Source organism: Homo sapiens, chromosome 2 (assembly GCF_000001405.40).
Source record: "Homo sapiens chromosome 2, GRCh38.p14 Primary Assembly".
Classification (NCBI taxonomy): domain Eukaryota; kingdom Metazoa; phylum Chordata; class Mammalia; order Primates; family Hominidae; genus Homo; species Homo sapiens.
Window position 1 is genome coordinate 11,566,279 of NC_000002.12, and position 23,877 is coordinate 11,590,155.

The following is a 23,877-nucleotide window of genomic DNA, read 5'->3' on the forward strand; positions in this document are numbered from 1 at the left end:
AGTGCTGGGATTACAGGCGTGAGCTACCATGCCCAGCCAACTAAGATTATAGTTCTATCTCTCAGGATTAATTTTGAGGTCAAGCACACCCAGGGGTAAGGGTTTCTCCTGAGCAGACCCAGAACGTTTCCTCCCTTTGCCCCTGTGACCCCGCTTCTGGGAAGCCCTGGGCAGCGTGTGAACCCTGTCCACCCCTCCTAGGGTTTTGCCAGGCCGGGAAGGACCTGCGCCTTGTCTCCATTTCCAACGAGCCCATGGATGTCCCTGCGGGCTTTCTCCTCGTGGGGGTCAAGTCCCCCAGCCTGCCGGACCATCTCCTGGTGTGCGCCGTTGACAAGAGGTTCTTGCCAGATGACAATGGCCACAATGCTCTTCTTGGTAAGTACTGCTTTGTCATCCTCTGTGGCTCCTTCTGCATGGGGTAGAGCAGGGTCAAGGGAGGTCACGGCGGGGGGTGGTGGCAACAGAGGGACCATCTTTGGGACCCCAGGCGCAGCATGCAGCCCTGTTTCTGTTTTTTGGTAGATGAGTTCTTTGTGGAATGGAATGCAAATGAGATGCATTTACAGTATGACTGCATCCCTGCAGAAAGCTCACCATTTAGCATTCATTTTTCATACATTTATTCCTCAAACCTCCTTAAGTGCCTGCTTGTGTCAAGAATGGGTGACAAACCCTGTCCTAGGCAGTCTCAGAAACAGCCTACAGAGGCAGAGGAGAATGAGGCCGAGTGTGTTGCTGCTTCCAGAATGTTCTGTCCTGAAGGACTGCCAGGCACCCTGTATCTGTTTTCCCCTTTGGTTTATCACTCATCTCTCAATACATGGTCTGTTTGTTTGCTTGTTTGTTTGTTTATTTATTTTGAGACAGAGTCTCTCTCTGTCGCCCAGGCTGGAGTGCAGTGTTTACTGTCTCAGCTCACTGCGACCCCCACCTCCTGGGTTCAAGTGATTCTCCTGCCTCAGCCAACCAAATAGCTGGTATTACAGGTGTGCACCACCACATCCGGCTAATTTTTGTATTTTTAGTAGAGATGGGGTTTCACCATGTTGGCCAGGCTGGTCTCGAACTCCTGGCCTCAAGTGATCTGCCCACCTTGGCCTCCCAAAGTCCTGGGATTACAAGCATGAGCCACCACGCCCAGCCAAGAGGTGGTCTTTATTACCCCAGTTTTATAGGTGAGCTTGGATCTGTTAAATTGCTCAAGGCCGCGTGAGTAAAGAGGACAGAGCCAGGATTCAAACCCAAGTCTTCCTGGCTCCAGATTCTACCCGGTACCATCCCACGTGGTCTTGACCATGTTGTGGTCAAGGTCAAGGTGGGGGAGCCACCGTTTTCCCTTCCAGCCACCGGCACCACTAGCCTTTGATCTTTCCAACAACCGCTGGCCCACTAAGGCTCTGAGTGCAGAGCTGAGGCCAGGCCTTGCCAAGCCTGGCTGCCTTTGCTCATATGATGTAATTGAGTTCTTACTGTGTGCCGGGCCATCACTCAGCAGGCTCCCCCATTGTGGAGTAAAATCTAGGGACACCTGAGGTGTGGACTGAGAGCCCGGGGATCTGGGTTCCTGCCCTGCATCTGCCCACAGGTCCCTGTGTATCCCCCTGGGCTTCTGCGTCCTCATCCATGAAGCGGGGAGGTGACTTCCACATGTGCCCTGGCCCTTTGGCAGTCTGTTCTCATCCCGTGACTGTGGGTCCGGCCCCTCCGTCTGGCCTGGCATCTTCTTTGGAGGAAATCTGGGCAGGAGGCAGGATTGGTAATAATCCACTTCAGATGTAGCCTCAGGAACGGTCTTCATGCAGAAGCAAATTTGATTGTGAGAATTTATGGGAAAAACTTCTAAGTTGAAAACCCCCACAATTTCTTACATATTTTCCATGAGTATAGACCTTGAAGCCTCCAGTTTTGCGCTTGATACAGTTCCAAAAGCTGGGAGGATAAACTCACTCCACGGGTAGTTACTGAGCACACTGTATGTCTGAGAAGCTGTGCAAAGGATGAAGAATGGAGAGAGGGGAGAAGAAAACGCAATGGTTCCTGCCACAGAGGCGCTGGGGACACACACGTGTGTGAACTCTGACACGAGGCAGGTGAATGCTCACTCGAGGGACAGCACCACTAGACAGTGATGAAGGAGAGAAAACATTTTGGCCAACTCTTTTGAGGCAGGCTCATGGAGTCACTGTAACTAGTTCTCTAAAACAGAACCATTCCAGAAAACCCACTCTAGCAAAGAAGCTGATGGAATAATTCAATGACAGACTGAACGCTTACGACAGTCGCCCAGGATGAAAGTGAGTACGCGAGGCCATGCCTGGTGGCCACCTTAGCGTTTGATCTGGCGGTGGCCGGGGATTCATCTGGATCCCACCACTTTGTGACTGTAAAGGAATTGCCAGGGTAGTAAATCAAGGAGGCTCTGCCTGTTGGCCCGCAGAGAGGAGGATCTTCCAGTTCCTTCACCACCAGCCCAGTAACAGAGCCAGCTCATCGAGGAGAGGAAGTGTAGGAGCTTTGTTAATTGCTTGCCAGAGCCATCTGAAATGGGTGACAAGGCCTGGTTGGTAATAACCATTGCTTTCTTCTTTTAATAAAATAACTTTATGCTCTCAGCTTGCATACTTAACACTGTTTAGGTTTCCTGCAATTAAGTCTGATGGCTATACAGGACAAGGTGGTCCGCTCCAGCCCTGCAGCGGCAGGGCTCAGTGCTTTTTAGTGATCTATAAAATACAGGCTGGGTAATACCTTGAGGGAAGCAGCAGTATTAGGAGACTTGTTTTTGTGACTTTTAATCAACTCAGGTATTTTATCTGAAAAAGCTGAAAGATTAAAATCTAGGTGTGTGTTTCAGTTTATTGCCCGGTAATTTATCTAAATGGGTTGACAGCTCAGACATAAAAAAGGAAAACATATTCCGCTAGATTGTTTTTTCTTAGATGGGAGTAAACAAATCCTTTGTTCATTCAGCATGCAAAGAATTCAGCATGCATTTACGGAATATATAACGTGAAATGAAAGCCTGGACCTTCAGTTACGTCTAGGGGCTGGGTGGGGGGATGCAGGCACACCAAGAATCAGCCTAGAAGTCCACAACAAACGACTCTGTCAGTAAATCTTACAATACATCCATGTGCGACATGGTCCAGCAGAGACGGTAAGGTGCTCCGGCAATCGGAGGAGCACACCGGCTCCCAGTGAGGATGGGAATGGGAGGATGTGGTATCTGAGTTGGGCCCTGAAAAATGAGTGGAATTCTGCCAATTGGAGAATAACAGCAACAGAAACCAAGCACTAATAGCAGTCGGCACTTTTTGAGCATTTATCGTGTGCCAGAAACTGCACGAAATAAGTTAAAATAGCCAATGCAGTGGGTCTATTATTATCTAGAGTTATATACAGAGATGAAGGCACAGAGAGGCTAACTGACTTGCTCAGGGCCACCCTGCTGTTTGAACCCCGAGGGTCTGGCCCTGGTGCCCAGGTCCTGGAGGATGAAGGGCATCTCAGCAGAGGGACCTCCCTGTACATGACAGCGTGGCACACTGGAGAGGTGGCGAGAGTGCTCTGTGGCTGGAGCGGAGGCTGGTGGAGAGCGTGGCGGGGTGGGGTGCCCAGCTGGGTTCTGCTTGGAAAAGGAGCTATTTTCAAACTATGGAAGTACAGAGTCTCATGGTATGAGGTGATCTAGCCTTCTTTAAAGGTTACCAACACGTGGCCAGTCTTGTTTCATTGATAATGTCCCCCTCTTCTCCCTTTCTGGGATTATTTTGAAACAAATCCCAGACATTGTATCACTTCATCTGTAAATATATCGGCAGGGCATTATCTCTAAAAGATAATGGGGCCAGGTGTGGTGGCTCATGCCTGTAATCCCAGTACTTTGGGAGGCTGCGGGGAGTGGATCACCTGAGGCCAGGAGTTTGAGACTAGCCTGGCCAGCGTGGTGAAACCCTGTCTCTACTAAAAATACAAAAATTAGCTGGCCGTGGTGGCACATGCCTGTAATCCCAGCTACTCGGGAGGCTGAGACAGGAAAATCACTTGAACCTGGGAGGTTGCAGTGAGCTGAGATGAAGCCATTTCACTCCAGTCTAGGCGACAAGAGTGAAACTCCATTAAAAAAAAAAAAAAAAGATAACGGCTTTTCATTAGAAATCCAATACAATTATCATATCTAAAAGATTTAACAGGTATTTAATATTATCAAATATTCAGGGTGTTCGAATTGTTATCTTATACTTTTTTTTTTTTAAAGCAATTGGTGCATTTGTATCAAGATCCAGACAAGGGAGTTCTAAAGCATTTAGTTGCTGTATCTCTTCAATTTTTCTTTATGTGTAGGTCCTTCCTCCCTAGTTTTACCCTTATAATTGATATTTTTAAGGATATTTAGAGTGTTAGATGTTAAATTTAGATGACTGTTTTAATTTGTGTTTTAGGAAGATCTCTTAGAAGTCAGATACACAATTGATTTTTAGGCAAAGGGAGAAACTGAGGCAGAAGAACTAGTTATGAACTTATTGCAGGATTCTAGAGGAGTACGATGGCCTGAGAATTATATGTTTCAAACCTCCCAACATCATACTATTTACCACCCCTGAGTGCTTCATCTTCCGCGGGAACACCTGGGACCCCTGCCCCACTTCCTGTCTCACCTGGAATCCTGGTACGGCTCCTTAGGCTTCCCCAACACAAGGAGGTCATTTCTACACTTGAGCTGGGGTTTGGCCAAAATACCAAGGCAGGGGCTCTGGATATATATATATATAAAACGTTGTTTTCCTTTCCCATGGTCTTTTCCTTTCTCCATCAAGGTGGGGATTTAAAATAATGTTCCCCAGGTTTTGTTTTTTCTTTTTTTCAATTAATATGGCACACAATGAGCCAAAGATGATCTTATTTTTGTCCCAAGTAACTGTTTATTTTCAGGCACGGGGAGGGTGGTCATTAGTTGCTAGGTATAGTGTGTGCTCGTCTGAGCTCATGAGCTTTCAAGGCTCATTATTTGGAAGGAACATAGAGTTGCTGTTCAGGCCCAATTTAAATCCCACTTGCCAGGATGTCTTCCTGGAATTGCCTTCCTAAATTACTCCTGCTGTTTCCTCATTCTTCTCTGCAGCACACTGTGCTGGAACAGCCAGTCCCATCTTGGCAGAGAAGTACTTCCTGCCTTGGGGCTGCAGGTTTGCCATCTATAAAGGGGATAAAGATGTACGCGGTACCTGACTGCGGTTTTGAGGATAACTCCGCTCTTTATATGATGATCTTTATAAACTCGAAAATGCTGCCCAAATTTGAGGAACTACTGTCGTTGCTACCGGTACTTCTGCCTCAATCATGGGATTATTTAATTGTGTCTGTTCCTTCTTCCTAACAGGGACCATTTCTTTTTTTAACCAAAAACAATACCCAATTAATGAACCATGCATTTTTTTTTTCTTTTTGAGACGGAGTCTCGCTCTGTCTCCCAGGCTGGAGTGCAGTGGCGCGATGTCGGCTCACTGCAAGCTCCACCTCCTGGGTTCACGCCATTCTCCTGCCTCAGCCTCCTGAGTAGCTGGGACTACAGGCGCCCACCACCACACCCAGCTAATTTTTTTGTATTTTTAGTAGAGACAGGGTTTCACTGTGTTAGCCAGGATGGTCTGGATCTCCTGACCTCCTGCTCCGCCTGCCTGCGCCTCCCAAAGTGCTGGGATTACAGGCGTGAGCCACCACGCCCAGCCGAACCATGCATTTTTAATCTATGTCTTGCCCAGAGCATGTGGTTTGTTTCCTATCAGATTTTCTTTCTAAACATATTTGTGCATAAAAGTATTTGTCAGATTTGCATTTTTTCATGGAGGGTTGATGACTAGGGCCAAGTGGCCCTCTGCGCAGGGACAGTGGCCTAGAGTAAGGCCCTTCTGAGCATCCACTCTCCTGGGAAGGCACTGGATGGAGGCATCAGGCCTGGGGGACAGGTCTGTGGCTCCCAGCTCTGGTGCAGTGGCTGTCAGCGAGATCTGCTTGGACTGTGGTTCTAGAAGAAAGGTCAGGTGCAGGTGGGCTTCTAGAGGCATCCCTGAGGTTTTGTGGGAGGACTCCTCTCTGCAGAGGGAGTGGCCCCAGCAGTAAACCTGGGCCATCTCCAGCCTGCTATGAGCCAAGTGCTCAGAGACCACTGGGTCTGAAGGAAGCCACCTATGGATGCTTCCAAGAAGAATCATGTCACTTTGGTCCTAGAAGGAGGCATAGGGCCGATTTAGTCATAGCCTTCCCTTTGATGGTTGGAACATGGAAACCCAGAGAAATGGAGCTGCTTCCTCCACATCTCACACTGTTGTGGGGGGCTATATATTTGCTCCCCTAGGGCCACATGTGAGTGTCATGACCCCCACTGTGCTCTCTCCTTCCTAATACACTTAGTCCAGGGTAGAGGAAGGAGGGATGCTTGCAGAGTGCCCCTGACATGTTAGATATCTCGTAGGCACTTAACCCGCATAGTGCTCCTACAAGGTGGGTTTTTGGGAGGAGATGGGTTCAAATCCTAACTCCAGCACTTTCTACCCTGTAGCCGTGGCTTGGTCACCCTGTACCATGGATGGGTTTCTGTTTCTCCCTCTGCCTTGCTGTTTTCATCTGTAAACTGGGACACTGCTACTGATTGTTTTGTTGGGCTTCATGAGGTTTAAATGAGAACGTTTATAATGTGCTTGGCACAGTGCCTGGCCCATGATAGGTGCACTATGAAGCCGCTGTTGTCGGCTTGTTGACAGACGGGGAAAGCAAAGCTCAGAGGTGTTAGTTACCTGCCTCACATCACCTAACTGTAGTTAGGATTTGAACCCAGGCCCCTCAGACATCCAGGCTTATGCACACTCCCTTGCAGGGGCTGGGGGAGTGGATGTAGTTGTCCTCTCAGCAGAAGGGGAGAGGCTTCCTCAGTGGCCAGCACACATAGCCGCCCAGGACGTGCTTGTTAAACAAATGCTACCTGCAGCTGCTGAACTAGACACAGGAAAATCACAGGGTGTGGCTGTGCGTGGTGACAAGAGTCGTGTTTAAGATGGACTGTTTTCCATGGTGAGGACACTGAAGGAAGAATTTCGATTCTGGATATCCACACCCGGCAGGAATTTGAGATTTCAGGCAGGATCCCATGCTTTCTAAGCCTATCATGTAAAGAAAACTTTCTAGACTTTCAAGTCCTAAGGTAGATTTCTGAAGAGAACGGCTCATTATTTTCCTCTTTCTCATGAACATTTTTGTTGCCTTTCCCATACCTTCTTGGAGGGTTGGCATTTCCGGTCTCTCCCAGGGCCGGTTGGGAAGCTGTCTGTGGTTTTCTTGGTTGGCCTCTGTGGCTATCTCTCCAAGACACCTCACAGAAGAGCAGCTGGGTCTCCTGACCAGAAAGTTTTTGCCAAAGCAGAAAAGCAGTTTGCTTGCTGAGTCCCTAAATGTTTCCTGTACCAGCAAGACCCAGGGTGTCCACCCTCATTTCTGAATCACAAAGGGCTCCCTGTGCTTCCCATCCCAGCGGAGGAGATGGAGACGGCCTCTGCAGCACAGCGACGGTCCCCAGCCCGTGTTTCTTATGGGACAGAGGCCTGTAACCTGCTTAGCTGTCTCTGGAGAGGTTTGACAGCCTGGCCTTGGCAAGTTGCTCTTAGTTTCTTGCAGTTCTGTTTCCTGTTCATCCATCTTTTTAACACCAGGCTTAGAAGCCCTTCCAGGGAGCTCTGAAGGTTTCTTCGGGCCTTGTTCTTAGGCAGCAGTTGAGCTGGGTTTATCTCAAGCGTCCCTAAGTTGGAGGTGAAGGAATAAACAAAGACATGAGGTTATTCCTTCAGAGTGCTTACAGAAACCCTAACAGGCTGTGTTTACAGTTACCCTGTTTCCTCTCTTCTTTCTTCCCTCTCGATGTTAACCGGCTGCCTGCCACGTGTTGGGTATTAGTCAGTACCTGTACACTGGCACACACACAGCTCACACGTGCAGTCATGCTGCGAGCTTAGAGGAATAATGATGGGAAAAAGACACAAATTTCAATCACTGGGATGTTCAGAGGCCCCTGAGCTACAGGAAGAGTCTGGAAGAAAGTGCCAGCCAGCCTTTGGGTCACAGAAGGCTCTTGGGAATAGGCGTCGGAGCAGGATGTTGAGTGAGGGCTGGAGGTGTACAGGTGGGGCCCCCAGAGGAAAGGATGAGCCTGTGGGTGGAGGGCAGTGGGAGCGGGCTGGGTTGAAAGGCAGGGGAGTCCAGCTGGGAATTAGCATATCAGAGGAAGGACAGGAATAAAGCTGGAGATGAAGGCTAGGGGGCATTGGGGCAGCCTCGGATGCCAGGCCTGTGGGTGAGAACATCATCCTCAGGCTGGAGTTGAATGCCACACTTTCTGTACCTATGGATTTGAACAATTGGCCTCTCTGGTTCTCTGATTTCACAAAGAAGGACTTGCCCTCCAGGTTGACTGGCTCCTGTGTCACTTGTGGGTTGAGATGAATGACAAGAATGGCCCTGGTTCCCTGTGAGTGTTAGTTCCCTGCCTGTCCCATGGAAAGCGAGCACATGGAGAGGACAGTATTTCATGCCAGGACCTTACTGTTTGTGCTGGCACAGAGGGAATAGGACTGTGGAAGGTAAACTATCCTGTAACTGTCCTATGGCGAGGCCAAGAGATCTGTCCTTATTTCTAACGCCTTTTGAGAAAGACTAGATGTGCTCAAAGTAGATCAGGGAGTCCTGTAGGCCTCTGTAATGTAGATGTCTTATTTATCTGTGGAGATGTTTTTAACCTTCACTAACTGGAGTTATTCTGAACACTAGCCAGAGACCTTAGGGAAACTGTTTTAGAGCAGAGTTACACACAGAGCCGGGTGGCCCTCACGGCCTAAGGCACGATGACCTTTGTAGACTTATCAAATGGAGAATATGATACATGAGTCTTAGCTTCAGCATCTCCCCAGCCAAAGACCTTTGAGCCCAAAGAAACCAGACATACCAGTGGGTGAAACAAGGCCGTCTTAAGATCGTTTAAATAAGAGCAGTCAGCCTGGGCAGAAGCCCAGTCTTCACATTTCTCATCTTAACCAACGCTCCCAATGCCTATGGTCTGAATAGGCTTTACAGTGTATGAAGGTCTTTTCAAGCACATTCTCTGGATTTTAATAGCTTCCAGGAGGTGGTTTGGTTGTTGCCACTGCGTAGGAAGCCTGCTTAGAGTCTCACAGCTGATGGAAGCCTCCATCACCTCCCAGAAAGTCAGTTGTAGGCCTGGTGCAGAGGCCAGCAGCAGCAAGATAGTCACATTCTAGCAGAGTGTCTCCATCCACTGGCTGCTAAGCCACGGAATTCACTCACCAGCATGCTGGCCAGATATTGTGAAGCGCTCCTGATTTCTTTTCAGAAACTCACGGGATCAACTTGATAGCAGGATGGAATTTTGGACTCTTAGGAGGTCTCCCAGTGTAGCCCATCTCACTAGTCACATTGCTTTGAGAGTCTGTAACTAACCCACCCCCACGGAAATAAGAGCCTGTCGCATCATTTCAGGTGCCTGATCTGTGTAGACAGTGGAATGGGATGGCTCTTGTCTTGCAAAGTTTGCTCTCTACATAGGTGTTTAAGTGGGCCCTCAAGCACGTTAAATCTTCCAAGTTTGCCCAGGCCCATCTCTATCACTAAGTCTTCCTGGTCCTCTTTCATTCGAGTTGAGGCCGTCTTCACCTCTGGGCTAGTCTAAGAGGGTGGGGTGCTTGCCTTGTGGCGTTCTCTGGCTGGTGGTGCAGGAAGTGAACCTTCAGAGTTTGGATGAACTCTGTCTTATTTGAAAAGGACCAGCCTGGCCAACATGGTGAAACCCCGTCTCTACTAAAAAATACAAAACAATCAGCTAGGCACGGTGGCAGATGCCTGTAATCCCAGCTATTCAGGAGGCTGAAGCAGGAGAATCACTTGAACCTGGGAGATAGAGGTTGCAGCGAGCCGAGATCGCACCATTGCATTCCAGCCTAGATGACAAGAACGAGACTTCATCTCAAAAAAAAAAAAAGAAAGATGTTTATGGTTTACTTCCTTCTCCAGGTTTCTCTGGGAATTGTGTTGGCTGTGGAAAGAAAGGCTTCTGTTACTTCACGGAATTCTCCAATCATATAAATCTGAAACTGACCACTCAACCCAAGAAGCAGAAACACTTGAAGTATTACCTGGTCCGTAATGCACAAGGGACTCTAACCAAAGGACCTTTAATCTGTTGGAAAGGCTCAGGTGAGCAGGTTGGCTGTGGAGGAGGTATGGGAGTGCTGGGCCCCCAAGTGGGCCGTGGTGCCTGTCGGTGTGATGCTGGGGAGAGGCCCCTGCATAGCAGCACACATCACGGGCAAAAGGCCAGGCCTATGAAATGGAAAATGCTCCTTTGCGTTACGGGCGTTAAGCTGGTTGACAGTGACAGTCTAATTGGATGGGATGTTTAAAAGTCGACAGAGGGCCAGTTGTGGTGGCTCACGCCTGTAATCCCAGCACTTAGGGAGGCTGAGGTGAGGGGATCACTTGAGGTCAGGAGTTCAAGACCAGCCTGGCCAACACAGTGACACCCTTCTCTACTGAAAATACAAAAGTTAGCCGGCCATGGTGGTGCCCGCCTGTAATCCCAGCTACTCGGGAGGCTGAGGCAGGAGAATCACTTGAACCTGGGAGGTGGAGGTTGCAGTGAGCTGAGATGGTGCCACTGCACTCCAGCCTGGGCAGCAGAGCACGACTCCATCTCAAAACAAACAAACAAACAAACGAACAAAAAAAAAACGTTGACAGAGGGCCAGAGTGTGCATTACCTCCTATGGCAAGTATTTGGGGCAGTGGTTCTCATCTCCCCAGATTGAGTGGTTCATCCAAGTGATCCTCAACCATGGGTGACTTTTGTCCCCTAGGGAACGTGTGGCCATAACTCAAGACAAGTTTGATTGTCATGACTGGATGGTGCCACCAGCATCTGGGGTAGGGACCAGGGTATGGCCGAATATTCTGCAGTGCACAGGACGGCCCCGAGCACAAAGAAGCCCCCTGCAAATGTCACTGGTGCCAAGGCTGAGAACCTGACTTAAGACAGCTTGGCTTGAACAATGCCCCACCCAAGCCCCTGAACCCTAAACTATGGCCAGAAAGACCAGCTTCACGTTGCTGGTCTCTGAAGAAGTGATTGGGATGCAGCTTTCAGAAATGTTGGGAGCAGGCTGCCCTCCCACCCTTCTTTGTCTCAGCTTTGCCCTTCATGGCCACAGTCAGCAACGCAGGGTGAGGAGGAGGCTGGATCCTCAGCGGCCTGCCATGGGTGGAGGGCAAGTCTGGGGTGTGAGGTGTCCCTCCCTTGTCTGTGTTTGTTCCCATCTTGTCTTCCGGACGCTCCCGGGCAGGTCCTGGGAGTAGAAGGAAGAGGCCTTAGGCTGGGTGGCTCTGGGCACGCCCCCCTCACACCCGACTCTTCCTTCCTCTCTGCTTTTCTTGTTTTGTTCAGTAAATGCCTCCTGAGCCCCTACTACTTGCCAGTCATTTCTCAGGCCCAGAGGCTGCAGTGGTTCTGCCCCGTGTGGGACCAGTTCACCGTCTTTGATCACCTGCTGGGTCCAAGCACCTCAGAGGTTCCCCACCTCACTGGCCGCTGGGGATGGCCTTTCCCAGAGGAGGAAATAAGGGTGGAAGATGGTATCATTTCTTTATCTTCAAGTAACACTCTCGTCTATGGCTACGGGTAGCTGTAGGGTGACTTATTTGTGTAATTTTTCCCTTTCTTCTAAATACTCACCATTGCTCCCACTCTTGACAACCAGAGCTGCCCCTTGGCACGTAGCCACAAGTAGAGAGTCGCACCCCTGCCCTGGCTTCACGCTGAAACAAAGACCAGGATGTGGTGGCAGCTTGTGTGGCTGTCTCCATAGCTCACTGTCCTGTAGGACACGTTCCACTCCAGGAACTCATTTCGTAGTTGTTGGAGAAGAGCGAGTTGGTTTTCACGTGTGCACCTTGCCCCCTTAGAGTTTAGAAGCCGGCAGATCCCCGCCAGTACTTGTTCCAGTTCCCTCTTCCCAGCCCTGGAGAGCACGGCTGCCTTCCCCAGCGAGCCCGTTCCTGGGACGAACCCCAGCATCCTGATGGGAGCTCAGCAGGCAGGTGAGGTGGTGGAGACACACCAGAGCTGCTAAACCCACAGAGCTGGCACTGTCTCCGATGTGTCCGGTTGACTATGCCGTCAAGCATTCTTCAAAATAAATCAGGGGGCTGTTATCTTTTTCTATAACACCTTTACTTTCATCTTGAATTTGTAATACTTTTCAACAAAGAATGCTAGGTTTTTCATTGGGAGTTTCTTTCTTCCTGTTTGATATGAAGTGGGATCCCCTGGTGGGGACATATGCAGGATCCCTCTGCAGCACCCCCCACCCCAACCCCCGCACAGCATAGAGCTCTCTATGTAAAGATGCTGAGTCAGGGTTTGAATGAATTGCTAGAAGGGGTGGAAAAGACCAGATTGCTGCCATTCACCCCGTGCTCAGCACTCCCCAGCTCCATGAATGCCTTGAAGTCCAACAACCACGCTGTGAGCAGGCGTCAGTTTCCACATTTTACTGATTGGGAAGGTGAGGCTCATTGAGGCTGGGTGCTTGCCTAGGACCTCGTGGGCCGGAGGAGGTGGAGGCAAGAGGTGACATTAGATGTGAACCCTGACGTACATGCTTGGCACTTCACCATGTTGCACAGACTTCCTAAGCATGGCGATTGTTATCACGGTGGACACCAGCCTTCCCGAGGACGCAGGAAGGTCGCTGGTTGTTTTCATGCCTCCTGCCCAGAGGGTCTGTAGAGGCACATTGGCCCTGGGAGGGAGCCAGTGCCCTTGTACCCACCTGGCCCATCCATCGCCTGGGCAGGGGACTGGGATGTACTCTCCTCCAGAGGCCCAGAGCTCCTCACTGCTTCCCCATGCCCAGGCCCCCAGTGCCTCTGCCATCATGGCCTGGAGAGCCTGCTGTTTTTGCTGTCAGGGTGCCTGGGTGTAAGCTCCAGTGCTGCTACCTTTTAGCTGAGTGATTTGGGGCAACTCAAAACCTCTGAACCTCCATTTCCTCATCTGTAAAGTTGGGCAAATCTCTTCTGTCTAATTTGTAGGGCAATTGTAAGAATTAAATAAGGCGATAGTATGAGCAAGTACTCCAAGCGTGTTACACACCAGGCACTGTTCCAGGCACTTTCTTCTGCTAACTCATGTCATTCTCACAGTGGCTCTGAGTTGCTACAGTGACCACCCCCATTTTCTAGATGAGAACACTGAGGCATAGGGAGGTTAAGTAAGTGTCCAGGGTTACACAGCTGGGAGGTGGTGGAACTGGCTCAAACACATGTCATCTGGCTTCAGAGCCAGCCTCTTAAACCCACAGGAAACATTCAGTGCTACTCCTGACCCGAGCTCTTTCCAGACCATTCTGGCTGACATGAGCAACTTAAGCAGTTCCGTCAGCCCCAGGAGACCAGAAGCCATGATTGTCCCCAGAATTACCCTTAGACCTGGGGAGTCCTGGGCCCTATGAACAGCCTGCGCCCAGGTAGCTGCAAACCCGACTGCTCTCCTGGACTCCAGATGTATTAGTCCATTTTCATACTGCTATGAAGACATTCCCAAGACTGAGTAATTTATAAAGAAAGTGGTTTAATGGACTCACAGTTCTACATGGCTGTGGAGGCCTCACAATCATGGCAAAAGGCAAAGGAGAAGCAAAGGCACGTCTTACATGATGGCAGTCAAGAGAGCATGTGCAGGGGAACTGCCCTTTATAAAACCATCAGGTCTCGTGAGACTTCTTCACTATCACGAGAACAGTATGGGGGAAACCACCCCCATGATTCAATTACCTCCCGCCAGGTCCCTCCCACGACACAGGGGGATTATGGGAGCTGCAATTCAAAGTGGAATTTGGGCGGGGACACAGCCAAACCGTATCAACCAGAGGTCTTGAGAGAGAAGGTAGAAGGAAGCAGAACAGTTTCAGGTGTGGTCCTGGAATTCAGGAAGTCCCCCGGTCCTTCTTTAACTCAGGCTGTGTGTCCAATGGGGTGTGAGCAGGAGGGTGCATGTTCCTGGGAGTGCATGTATATAGGCATGTGTTTGTGCATGTGTATGTGTGTACATGTTTGTGCATGTGTATCCTTGTGTGTAGGCAGAAGTGTGTATGTGTGTACACGTGCATGGGGGTGTGTGTGTGTATGCATGTGTCTGCATGTATCTTCTCAGTGTAGCAGAATCACTGTTGGGCATTCTGACCTCCTGATGAGACTTGCTGGGGAAAAGCTAGTTTGTGAAACTGCAAGGAAAATGATTTCCTCCTTGCCTGGCTCCCAGGGCATTCTTGTGAACTGACCCTCCTCTTTGCCTTCTATCTGTTTTCAGGACCAGCTTCTGATCACCCCTCACTAAACGCAGCAATGGGTCCGGCTGTTTTCAACGGCAAAGATTCCCCGAAGTGCCAACAACTGGCAAAGAATAACCTGTTGGCCCTGCCGCGACCATCGGCTTTAGGTAGCTCTGCCTGTCCTGGCCGTCCTGGGGATCCTGCTCTTCTTTGGGCCAAGGCCAGAGGGGGCATGGGAGCTGCTGGGCTGGGGCCGCTGAGCCTCCTGGAGTCTGATGTGGCTTCCATGAGAGTCAGGCCAGGACCACAGGTGCCTCCTGAGTCCGTGGGTCTGGGCCCAGGCCCTGGTGCTCTATGAGTGACACTTGGGAGTTACCGTATGTGCCAAGGAGCAGTGAGACACCTGTGGTAATGGCGAGTGACCTGTCCTATGGGCTGCACAGCTGGAGGATGGTAGAATTTTGGAGCAATAGTGGGCAGTGTGTTGTTGGGGAAGAACATGGGCTTCTGAATCAGAAAAATATGAATTCAAAACCTACCGCTGTCTCTTGTTAGTCAGGGGACCTTGGCCAAGTCTCAATAAATGTTTCTTCATCTGGAGATGAGAATTCTGCTCCAAGGGTTGTTAAGAGGGATGAGGTGCTGTATGAAAGGTCAGAGCACATCTGGCAGCTCACTAATCGGTACCGGCTGTTCTCATCCAAATCAGCCTCATTGCTGAGGCTCGTCTGCTCAGGGAAGGCTTCCTGGAGGAGGTGATAACTGAGCTGCAACTTAGAAGCTGGGGAAGCATCATGTAGAGATGGAAAGGGACAAAGGGAGCAAAGAGGGAATGAGGAGGTGAGGATATGGATGAGAGGGGTGAGTGAAGGGGCTGAGCAGACCTCCTGCCAGAGGAGGGTTTGAGGGAGCTGTGAACGGGCGGAGCAACCTGGGGACCTGCTCGTGGACTCCCAGTCCAGTGCTCTCCCCACCATGCTCATCTGGAGCCACATCATAAGCCATTCTCGTCTTTCTTTCCTCCATCATGCACTCAGCTAAATTGGATTTGAAGATCTAAGACATCAAACTGGAGGAGCCCTTAGAAACCATCTAGGCCAGCGCTGTTTTACAGAGGAGGAGACAGAGGTCCAGAGAGGCAAGGCAGGTCTCCATGCTCCCACTCCACTGTGCTGGTGGAGGATCTCCCTGGTGAAAATCTTGTGAATTGTCTAACTCTTCACTGAAGGGGCAAAGGTAGTTTCTGAACAGAATCCGAGGCCTCCCAACCAGCACCTCCATCCTGGAGTCCGAAACCCACAGCAGCCAAGACCCAGGCAGTAGCTGAGTCCCGTCCTCCGCAGCAGCCTAGCCCCAGGCAGCCTCTGCTTTCATCCAGGGACTGCTGCTTCTCTGCCGGTGCTGCATTTGGGGGCAACCCTGTGGCTGCAGAGCTGGACCTCTGGGGATGAGGATGCTGGGGATGCCACGCTGCTGCGGCCTCCCTTCTGGGCTGTCTGTGGACCCCCAGCCTCCACCCTGAACAGCAGGGAGATGAGGGCCTCCTTCAGCCCGGGAACCTGGGAAGGTGGCCTTGGGAAGCCTTCTGTGTGGGACTGACTGTATTTTCCTTGCCATGCTCCGTGGAGGGGTGTGGGAGATGGAGCTCCTCCAAATTGCCTAGGGGAACACGAGCCGTTCCAGAATCTGGCTCCAGCCCACCTGCCGAACCTCATTCCCTGCTATTTTGGCTACCCTGGGCAGTTGAGCTCCCCCACCCCCATGGCCCCATCCTCCTGTCTCCATGCTCTGTGCCTGCGTCCCGGCTCTGGGCTGCTCTCTCCACCCGCCTATTAAATCGCCTTTCTGAGGTTAGTTCAGGGGGCACCTGCTCTGTGCAGGAGGGCCCCCTGTGAGCTCACGGGGCTCCCAGCCGTCCCAGGCTCAGTCCCGCAGCCACATGTGGCCATCGGGGCCTCGGCGCTGTGCAGTTCCCGAGGGCAGCGCCTTGGTCATGTGCATCTTGGAGCCGCTGGTACCAGCTGCTGGGGAGCTCCGCCAGAGGGCATGACGCTGGCTGGGTTGAGTTGCGTTGAGCACAGCTGAAGTGTCGGAGTTCCTGGGCCTTCTCCTCTGCTCTGGGGAGAGAGCTCAAAATCAATTTTTAAGAAACTGCGTCTAATACCACATGGAGTTTACTGAAGCCTAGAGTCCTGTCACTCACTGGTTCGCAATGGAGAAGTGCTGCCCCCTGGGGGCGGGGGTAGGAAATGTTCTGGTAAAGGATGGATTTGTTGTCCCAGGCCCAGGGTCTTACTGGCATTTGGTGCTGGGACAGAGCGGGCAGGATGCACAATGTCCCGCACCAAACAGGCTACATAATGAGTCATCTCCAAAAAATGCCAAATAGTACCTCCCCAAGAGACATTTTGAGAAATAGTTGATCCACATTGGTACCATGGGAGCAGTTCCTGGTGACATCATTTGGGAAGAGCTCACGGGCTTAGGGTCTATTTAGAACTATTTATAGGGTTATCTTCCCAAAGTGAGAAAACATCTGCGTCTCTTCAATCCTTACTGAGATCCAATTCCAAGCCCTGTCCCCTTTGGTCGTTCAGTAGAGCTTTTAGAGGAGCTGGCTGCTTAGCCTCTGTGGGGGGTCTCCCATCGCAATTGGGGACAGATGTTTGCAGAGTCTAAGGCCTCATCCCTGCAAACAGGAAGGAGGAAAGCAGCAGCTGCGTCAGTGGTTGTTGGGAGGGCCAAAGGAGCCCACGGCTTTGAAAGCTCTTTGTAAACAAAGTACTTTATGCTTTTAACTTTTTGTTTACTTTCAGTCAGTCAAATGAAGTGATAATTTTTTTTTTGTTTACTCTTGAGAGACTCTAAAGCAATGATTCTCACCCTGCAGCGTGCTTAAAAATTACCAGGCTGGTCGGGTGCATTGGCTCACACCTATAATCTCGGCACTTTGGGAGGCTGAGCAGGCGGATCACCTGAGGTCAGGAGTTTGAGACCAGCCTGACCAACACGGTGAAACCCTGTCTCTACTAAAAATACAAAAATTGGCCGGGTGTGGTGGTGCGCGCTTGTAATCCCAGCTACTCGGGAGACTGAGGCAGGAGAATCGCTTGAACTCAGGAGGCAGAGGTTGCAGTGAGCTGAGGCCGCGCCACTGCACTCCAGCCTGGGCAACAAGAGCGAGACTCTGTCTCGAAAAAAAAAATCACCAGGCTGGCTTACAAAGGATGGTGTTTTTTTACTGTCGTTTCCAGAGATGTGATTCTGGAGGTCAAGGCAGGGCCCAGGGACACACAGGTTTAATAGGCCCATGGGGGTTCTGTGCAGTGCCTCGGGTCACACCTGGAGAACCGTTGCTCTGATTGGTATTTCTCCACCCGGGCTGTGCGTTAGAATCAAGAAGAAGCGTTGAGATATTGGGATGCCTGGGTCCTGCTCCCATGCTGGGCTTCTGGTTTACTTGGGATGAGATTGCATCCAGACAGAGTTTTAAAAGTTTCCCGGTTGAGTTTAATGTACAGTTGAAGTTGAGACATGAATCTCTGCATGTAGGGGAAATTTTGTGTCTGGTTAGTCAAGAAACTATGGAAACCAATTCTTGATATTTTGAACCATTCACGAAGATAGTTTGAGTCATGAGCATGCTGTTGTCTAGAGTGGGCGGGGATGACTCATTGGAGTGGATGCGCTGCTCTGTACTTGATTTTTTTGAGTCTGAAATTAGCTTTCCAGGCTGGGGCAGGGAGGGGAGCACAGGTGGATCAGTACTGCCCCCAAGCGGTGGAGCTGTGGTGGTGGATCAAATACTGCTGCCGCCTGTCTGCACAAACATATTTCTCTCTTCCAGCCCTTCAGAAGTGTATTGGAATATGTCGATAACAATAATGATGGTAGTGAAGATGATGATGATGTGGGTAATTCTGGCTACCTTATTGGGTCCAAGCTCCCCACAATTCGTTGCACAAAGCACTCTACATACATTCTCTTTAGTCCTGATCAAACCACCTTTCAGAGTAGGATTTAGTGTCCTATTTTAAAGATGAAGGAGCTCGGGCTCAGAGAGAGATCGTTTAGACACACACACAACTTTGGAATGAAACATTTACAGCCGGGCGCGGTGGCGCGTGCCTGTAGTCCCAGCTACTTGGGAGGCTGAGGCTGGAGGATCGCTTGAGTCCAGGAGTTCTGGGCTGTAGTGCGCTATGCCGATCGGGTGTCCGCACTAAGTTTGGCATCAATATGGTGACCTCCCGGGAGTGGAGGACCACCAGGTTGCCTAAGGAGGGGTGAACCGGTCCAGGTCGGAATGAAACATTTACAAAAATTGACATTTCCTTATGCATAGATATTTCACTAGGTCCTTAAAACCCACGTGAATCTGTGATTAGAAAAAAAAAAACAAAACAAAACAGATCATTGTTCTCCAAACCAAGGGTAAATTTTATTGGAGCCCTGTCCTGGTGATAGCCTAATCCACACTCTGAATATTGTCTAGGTATCTTGTCAAACTCCGGGCCCCCCAAAAAACGCCACAAAGGGTGGTCTCCAGAATCTCCATCAGCTCCAGATGGTGGCTGCCCCCAAGGTGGTGGGAACAGAGCTAAGTATGGTAAGTGATGGCAGCCTTGCCCAGAATTCCAGACTTGGGTACTGGTGGTAGTGCTGCTGCCAGTTGTGTGTATGTGTGCGTGTGTGCGTGCGCACGAGTGTGAATGTGCGTGTGTACTGATGAGGGAGTTCTAAGGAGGCAGAGTTTGGTGTGACAAAAGACCTCTTTCTCACATGTTAAAATTGCTTTGCAAGGTCTAGGATCCGTGTATGATAGTGAGTTCTCTGATCCTTGAGAAATTTTAAAAGGGGCTATTTATGACTTGGCAGGGATATCGAAGAGGAGACTGAACTACTGGGGGAAGGATGGGCGGAATGAACTTAAAGGTGCCGTTGACCTTAGGAATCTGTGACTCTAAGAGTTTGGTGCTCCTGTAATCAGGGACGTTGGTCAGAGGGTAGCAGATTTGCTGGCTGGCCTGATGTCAGGTATGTGAGAGGTGGATGCCTTGTCTGATGTTTTCACTAATATTCTTGGGTGTTCCTAGAGAGCGCAGGCATGTCCTGCGTGCCGCAGGTTGGCTTGGTGGGACCAGCTTCAGTCACCTTTCCAGTGGTGGCCTCTGGAGAACCAGTGTCTGTTCCTGACAACTTGCTGAAAATATGCAAGGCCAAGCCAGTGATATTTAAAGGCAAGTACAGCAGTGCACCGAGTCGTGGGGATGGGAGAACCTAAAGGAAGGCATGAGAAACAGGCAAAAGCGAGACCTCATCCCGGTCTGACTCCAAGGGTATCCTCCTGAGACAAACCTAAAATGCTTTCCAGGGCAAGGAAAGAACAAGGCAGAGCCAGTCACTAGCTCAGCCCCTGATCAGATGCCAAGAATGATGGAGCTTGTCACAACTTTCCACAGTGGGTCCAGGTGAAATGATTCCCTGCCATGAAGTCTATTTGCCTGTTCACTCATTCTTTCCTTCGTTTGCTCAGCTTCATTGAGCTTCTGCCGTGGTCCCAGACCCGGTGCTGAGTGCCGAAGATTAGGAAAAAACAAATCACTCCCTGGCTGCAGGAGCTCCGCTCTGGTGGGTTGTCTCCTGTTATCACCCACGCCACTAGTATTTTTTGACTATGAAATCTACTTTGGTTGGGCAAAGATAGCCGTGGTCACCACTGTAGAAGCATCAAACAAAATTAGATTTGATCTGTTTTGTGCAGTGGGCTAACGTACGCTACGTGGGGGTAGACTTTTGGCTCAGCTGAAGAAATCTCTTTGATGAAGCTGGGGATGTTGCAATGGGAAACCCTGGGGGGATTCAGCAGGGCTTGGCTGGTGATATGTAGGCACCAGAATGGCTGGCACATGGCAACACACACATACATACACGCGTGGGCACGGCACACACACACCGTGCACGCAGGCCCCTCTTAAATACGTTATTATTGCATTTGGTATCATGCTTGTAGATAGAGTAGAGAGGATTGTAGGAAAGTGAGAGAAGCACCCTACTGTTAATTAAGAAATAAGAAAGAGCATGTCTTTTTCCTAAAACACAAAAACTGGACGGGGTATTCAGGAAGTAGAGTGCAACTCTGAGTTTCGACCTTAGCATGACGCAGGACCAATGACCGAGGCAGTTCCACTGGGCCCCACTGTCTACCTCAAATGAAGACCAACATTCTTTCAGTCATGTTGTGTGTGTTTTTTTACGTGGCCATGGCGTGTCTGTGGTAGGCCCGAAGACCACGGTGCTCAGGAAACAGAGCTAGGACAGGGTGCAGGGCTTGGAGGTGCAGGCAGGGCGTCACCTGCTTCTGCTTTGAGCCAGGAACCTCGGAAAAGAAAGCCCAGCAAGTCTACGTCTCACACGAGCAATCTCAGAATAGAGACTGTCCTCTCGGTTCTCAGGCGTGCTCTGCTCCCTCCGCTGCCTCTCTGTTTACACTGCACCCCTCGCTGTAAAGCCCTCGTCTCCCGGACTCCTGCTCCCCACAGCCATATGTCCAAGCCCTCCTGAGGCCTTAAGACTCAGCTCTGTGCCTTCTCCATGAAGTTGTCTTAGATTCCCTTTCCTCTGCCCCCCTTGTCACTTCTCTGTCCCTCTTTTATGACAAATGTCACATACTTGCCTTTATAGCAACTCTTTACCTTGCCTCTTGCCCACTGCAGTATTTGTAAATGGTGCTACCCAAATGGTAGCCCTTGGTCCGGCAGAACCTGCATCGCCCCGGAGCTTATGAGAGGCGTGAATTCATGGACCCATCCTGGAATCAGAATCAGGCCCCACTTCTGCATCAGAAGCCCTGGGTGGCACCAGCAAGTGTTTGGCAAGCCCTTGAGAAGCAGTGTCTTTGAGAACGTGACCTGTGCCCCAGGCACCAGCTTTACTCCCCGAGCCCAGCAGGACATCTGCATATAACACACAGCCGAAGTCAGAAAATATATTTTTGGTGACTAAATGGAGTACCTGGAGTACAAGATAACACACACACACACACACACACACACACACACACACACACACACACACGCCACCTTTGGGAGCTCAGCAGCCCCGAGAGGATTTGATAGCTTCACCGCTTCACCTGGTTTTACAAATGCGGAGACTGAGGTTTAGGGCAGTTAAGCTTCTTGCTTAGCATCATGTAGGTAAAGAATGGTGGAAAGATATTTGAACCCGACCTGGGCAATTCCACCTCTGAGGGCTGTCCTCAGAATGAATCTTCTGATGGGCTGGGCACGGTGGCTCACGCCTGTAATCCCAGAACTTTGAGAGGCCGAGGCGGGTAGATCACTTTAGGTCAGAAGTTCAAGATCAGCCTGGGCAACATGGTGAAACCTTGTCTCTACTAAAAATACAAAAATTGGCCGGGTGTGGTGGTGATGCGCACCTGTCATCCCAGCTACTCGGGAGGCTGAGGTGGGAGAATCACTTGAACTTGGGAGGCAGAGGTTGTGGTGAGCCGAGATCACGCCACTGCACTCCAGCCCGGGGACAGAGCAAGACACTGTCTCAAAAAAAAAAAAAGAATGACTCAGTCTTCTGGTCTCTGTGGTGATATATTGTCCCAACTCACCTTGCCAGACAGCCCTGGGAGAATGCAGGGCAGAATCCTCCCTGCTTGGAGTCAGGGAGGCAAGACCTGGCAGGCAGCACCCAGTGAAGCTCTGGAAGGTGCTCTGCCCACAAGGTGTCCCATTGGTGGTGCTGGAGGAGTGACAGGTGGCGGCTGCTTGGCTCTGGGCAAGTCCCTCCCTCCAGCCCCCTCACTTGTAAAAAATAAGAGGATTGGACGAAATGAACCAGCAAGTGGCACAGCCCCATTGGTTAGAAAAGGTGACTCCTCTCATCCTAGGCTCCAGGAGGGTGAGCAGGTGCACTCAATGAGCAAGGCTTCCCAGGACAGGGCACTCGAGGGACCTGGCGCAGCTCACCTATCTCCTTCAGTGCCCTCACCCCCAGAGAACCCACATGTATGGGACCGTAAGCTGTGCACAAGACTGGGTGCCAAGTCGCTGCTGTTCCTCTGCAGGCCATGGGAACTTCCCTTACCTCTGTGGGAACCTGAATGACGTCGTGGTCAGCCCCCTCTTGTACACGTGCTACCAGAATTCCCAGTCTGTCTCACGGGCATACGAGCAGTACGGCGCCTCTGCCATCCAGCCCATCTCCGAGGAGATGCAGCTCCTGCTTACCGTCTACTACCTGGTCCAGCTGGGTGAGTCACCTCCACCTCCTGGCCCAGTGGCAGGGAGTGGCCACAGCCCGAGCACAGACCTGGCCTCGGCCCTCGTGGGGGCTGACTTGGGCTGCTGGAATTGAAATACATGGGGAGAGCTTATGGCTTCACTGGCGGGACGTCATGAAGTCACTGTGGGCGTCCCCACACTGGGGGGCTGAAAGTAGGTTGAGGTTGATGGAGACATTTCCAGAACTCTTTATCTGCCATTCTAGGCACAGGGATACAGCAGGGAATTGAGCAAAGACCCTGTCCTTGAGGCGATTCTAGTCTTAGTGGGAGAGAGAAGCAATAAACCAGTGGAAAACAGGCAGGTAAAGATGGGTGCATGCATTAGTGTGTGTTTGTATGGGGTCAGTTTAGGTCATGAAGAAAGGCCTCTGTGAATAGGAGACCTGGACCCTGAGAAGGATTCAGCCTTGTGATGATCTGAGGAATGAGGACAGGTGGGGCCCTGGGGAGAGAGGGAGGCCAGGTGAGTGCTGTGAGGTGGAGGAGCAGTGAGTGTCCCAGTCGCTGGAGAGGCCAGCGTAGCTGTAGCAGAGAGAGGGTGTGAGTGAGAGGTGTGGTCAGAGGGGGCCGGCTCCGGTCAAGGGTGTGATTCTATGTAGACACATTGAGAAGCCATTGGAGTATTTTTAGACAGGGGATGGAGGTGATCTGATTTTCACTTTAAAAACGCCACCCTGGCGGCTATGTGGAGTCAGATGGGGCAGACGCAGTGGCGGAAATGGAGAAAGAGTCAGTTGTTGCCTATTAAAGGCACACAGTGGCTTGAGCCACTGAAGGTGGCAGCAGTGAGCTGGAGGGGCTATTCTGAAGGTAAGGCCGGCTGGAAATGCCTTTGAAGGGGGTGGGAGCAGATGGGGCCTGGGTTTCAGCCTGAGCAGCCAGGTGAATGGTGGCAATGAACCTGAGTTCTGTCTTGGCGTGAGTTTGTACAAGATGCCCACGAGACAGTCAAGTCGCCTGTGTTCATTTGCATGGACAGGCCTTGAGTCCCAGGAGAGGTGGAGGCTCTAGGTATACATTTAAGACACACTGGCTTACAGATGACTTATATTAAAGCCGTGAGACCAGCTGCGGGTGGCTACGAGGAGAGGAAAGTGCCAAGGTTTGGGCCTGGGGACCTCCAATCTTCAGAGATCCAGAGGAGGCGACTGAGATGGAATGGGTGGGAAGGAAGGAAAGGACAGTGGAGAA

The 23,877-nt window shown here is 50.8% G+C and overlaps 1 protein-coding gene and 1 pseudogene across 27 annotated transcripts in view, besides 5 other annotated features; both read left to right on the plus strand.

Moving 5' to 3' along the window:
* The window catches only part of GREB1 (growth regulating estrogen receptor binding 1), a 159,901-nt gene that overhangs the window by 83,391 nt on the left and 52,633 nt on the right, over positions 1 to 23,877 (plus strand). For 26 of the 27 annotated variants that reach the window (XM_047446466.1, XM_024453251.2, XM_047446468.1 and 23 more), the window contains exons 4-10: positions 202 to 378; positions 10,075 to 10,257; positions 12,019 to 12,153; positions 14,426 to 14,554; positions 18,883 to 18,996; positions 19,484 to 19,627; positions 22,468 to 22,653. In XM_047446466.1, coding sequence (XP_047302422.1) covers positions 202 to 378; positions 10,075 to 10,257; positions 12,019 to 12,153; positions 14,426 to 14,554; positions 18,883 to 18,996; positions 19,484 to 19,627; positions 22,468 to 22,653 — 1,068 coding nt within the window. Of the gene's footprint in view, positions 1 to 201; positions 379 to 10,074; positions 10,258 to 12,018; positions 12,154 to 14,425; positions 14,555 to 18,882; positions 18,997 to 19,483; positions 19,628 to 21,103; positions 21,966 to 22,467; positions 22,654 to 23,877 lie in introns of those variants that run through there. The other variant, NM_148903.3, reaches the window with a different exon arrangement.
* Positions 8,203 to 8,703: an enhancer, noted in NCBI's record as "H3K4me1 hESC enhancer chr2:11714607-11715107 (GRCh37/hg19 assembly coordinates)". NCBI's record gives its function as "activates a minimal SCP1, AML or CMV promoter by ChIP-STARR-seq in naive H9 embryonic stem cells {active_cell/tissue: H9 hESC(naive)}" and the evidence as "EXISTENCE:reporter gene assay evidence [ECO:0000049][PMID:30033119]".
* Positions 12,069 to 12,704: an enhancer, noted in NCBI's record as "H3K27ac-H3K4me1 hESC enhancer chr2:11718473-11719108 (GRCh37/hg19 assembly coordinates)". NCBI's record gives its function as "activates a minimal SCP1, AML or CMV promoter by ChIP-STARR-seq in naive H9 embryonic stem cells {active_cell/tissue: H9 hESC(naive)}" and the evidence as "EXISTENCE:reporter gene assay evidence [ECO:0000049][PMID:30033119]".
* Positions 12,705 to 13,340: an enhancer, noted in NCBI's record as "H3K27ac-H3K4me1 hESC enhancer chr2:11719109-11719744 (GRCh37/hg19 assembly coordinates)". NCBI's record gives its function as "activates a minimal SCP1, AML or CMV promoter by ChIP-STARR-seq in naive H9 embryonic stem cells {active_cell/tissue: H9 hESC(naive)}" and the evidence as "EXISTENCE:reporter gene assay evidence [ECO:0000049][PMID:30033119]".
* Positions 16,465 to 16,759: an enhancer, noted in NCBI's record as "tiled region #7562; HepG2 Activating DNase unmatched - State 25:Art, and K562 Activating DNase unmatched - State 12:CtcfO". NCBI's record gives its function as "activates a minimal TATA promoter and a strong SV40 promoter by Sharpr-MPRA in HepG2 and K562 cells {active_cell/tissue: HepG2 | K562}" and the evidence as "EXISTENCE:reporter gene assay evidence [ECO:0000049][PMID:27701403]".
* Positions 18,138 to 18,227: a silencer, noted in NCBI's record as "silent region_11175". NCBI's record gives its function as "represses an Ori minimal core promoter by ATAC-STARR-seq in GM12878 lymphoblastoid cells {active_cell/tissue: GM12878}" and the evidence as "EXISTENCE:reporter gene assay evidence [ECO:0000049][PMID:35858748]".
* On the plus strand, positions 18,495 to 18,694 carry RN7SL674P (RNA, 7SL, cytoplasmic 674, pseudogene; annotated as a pseudogene).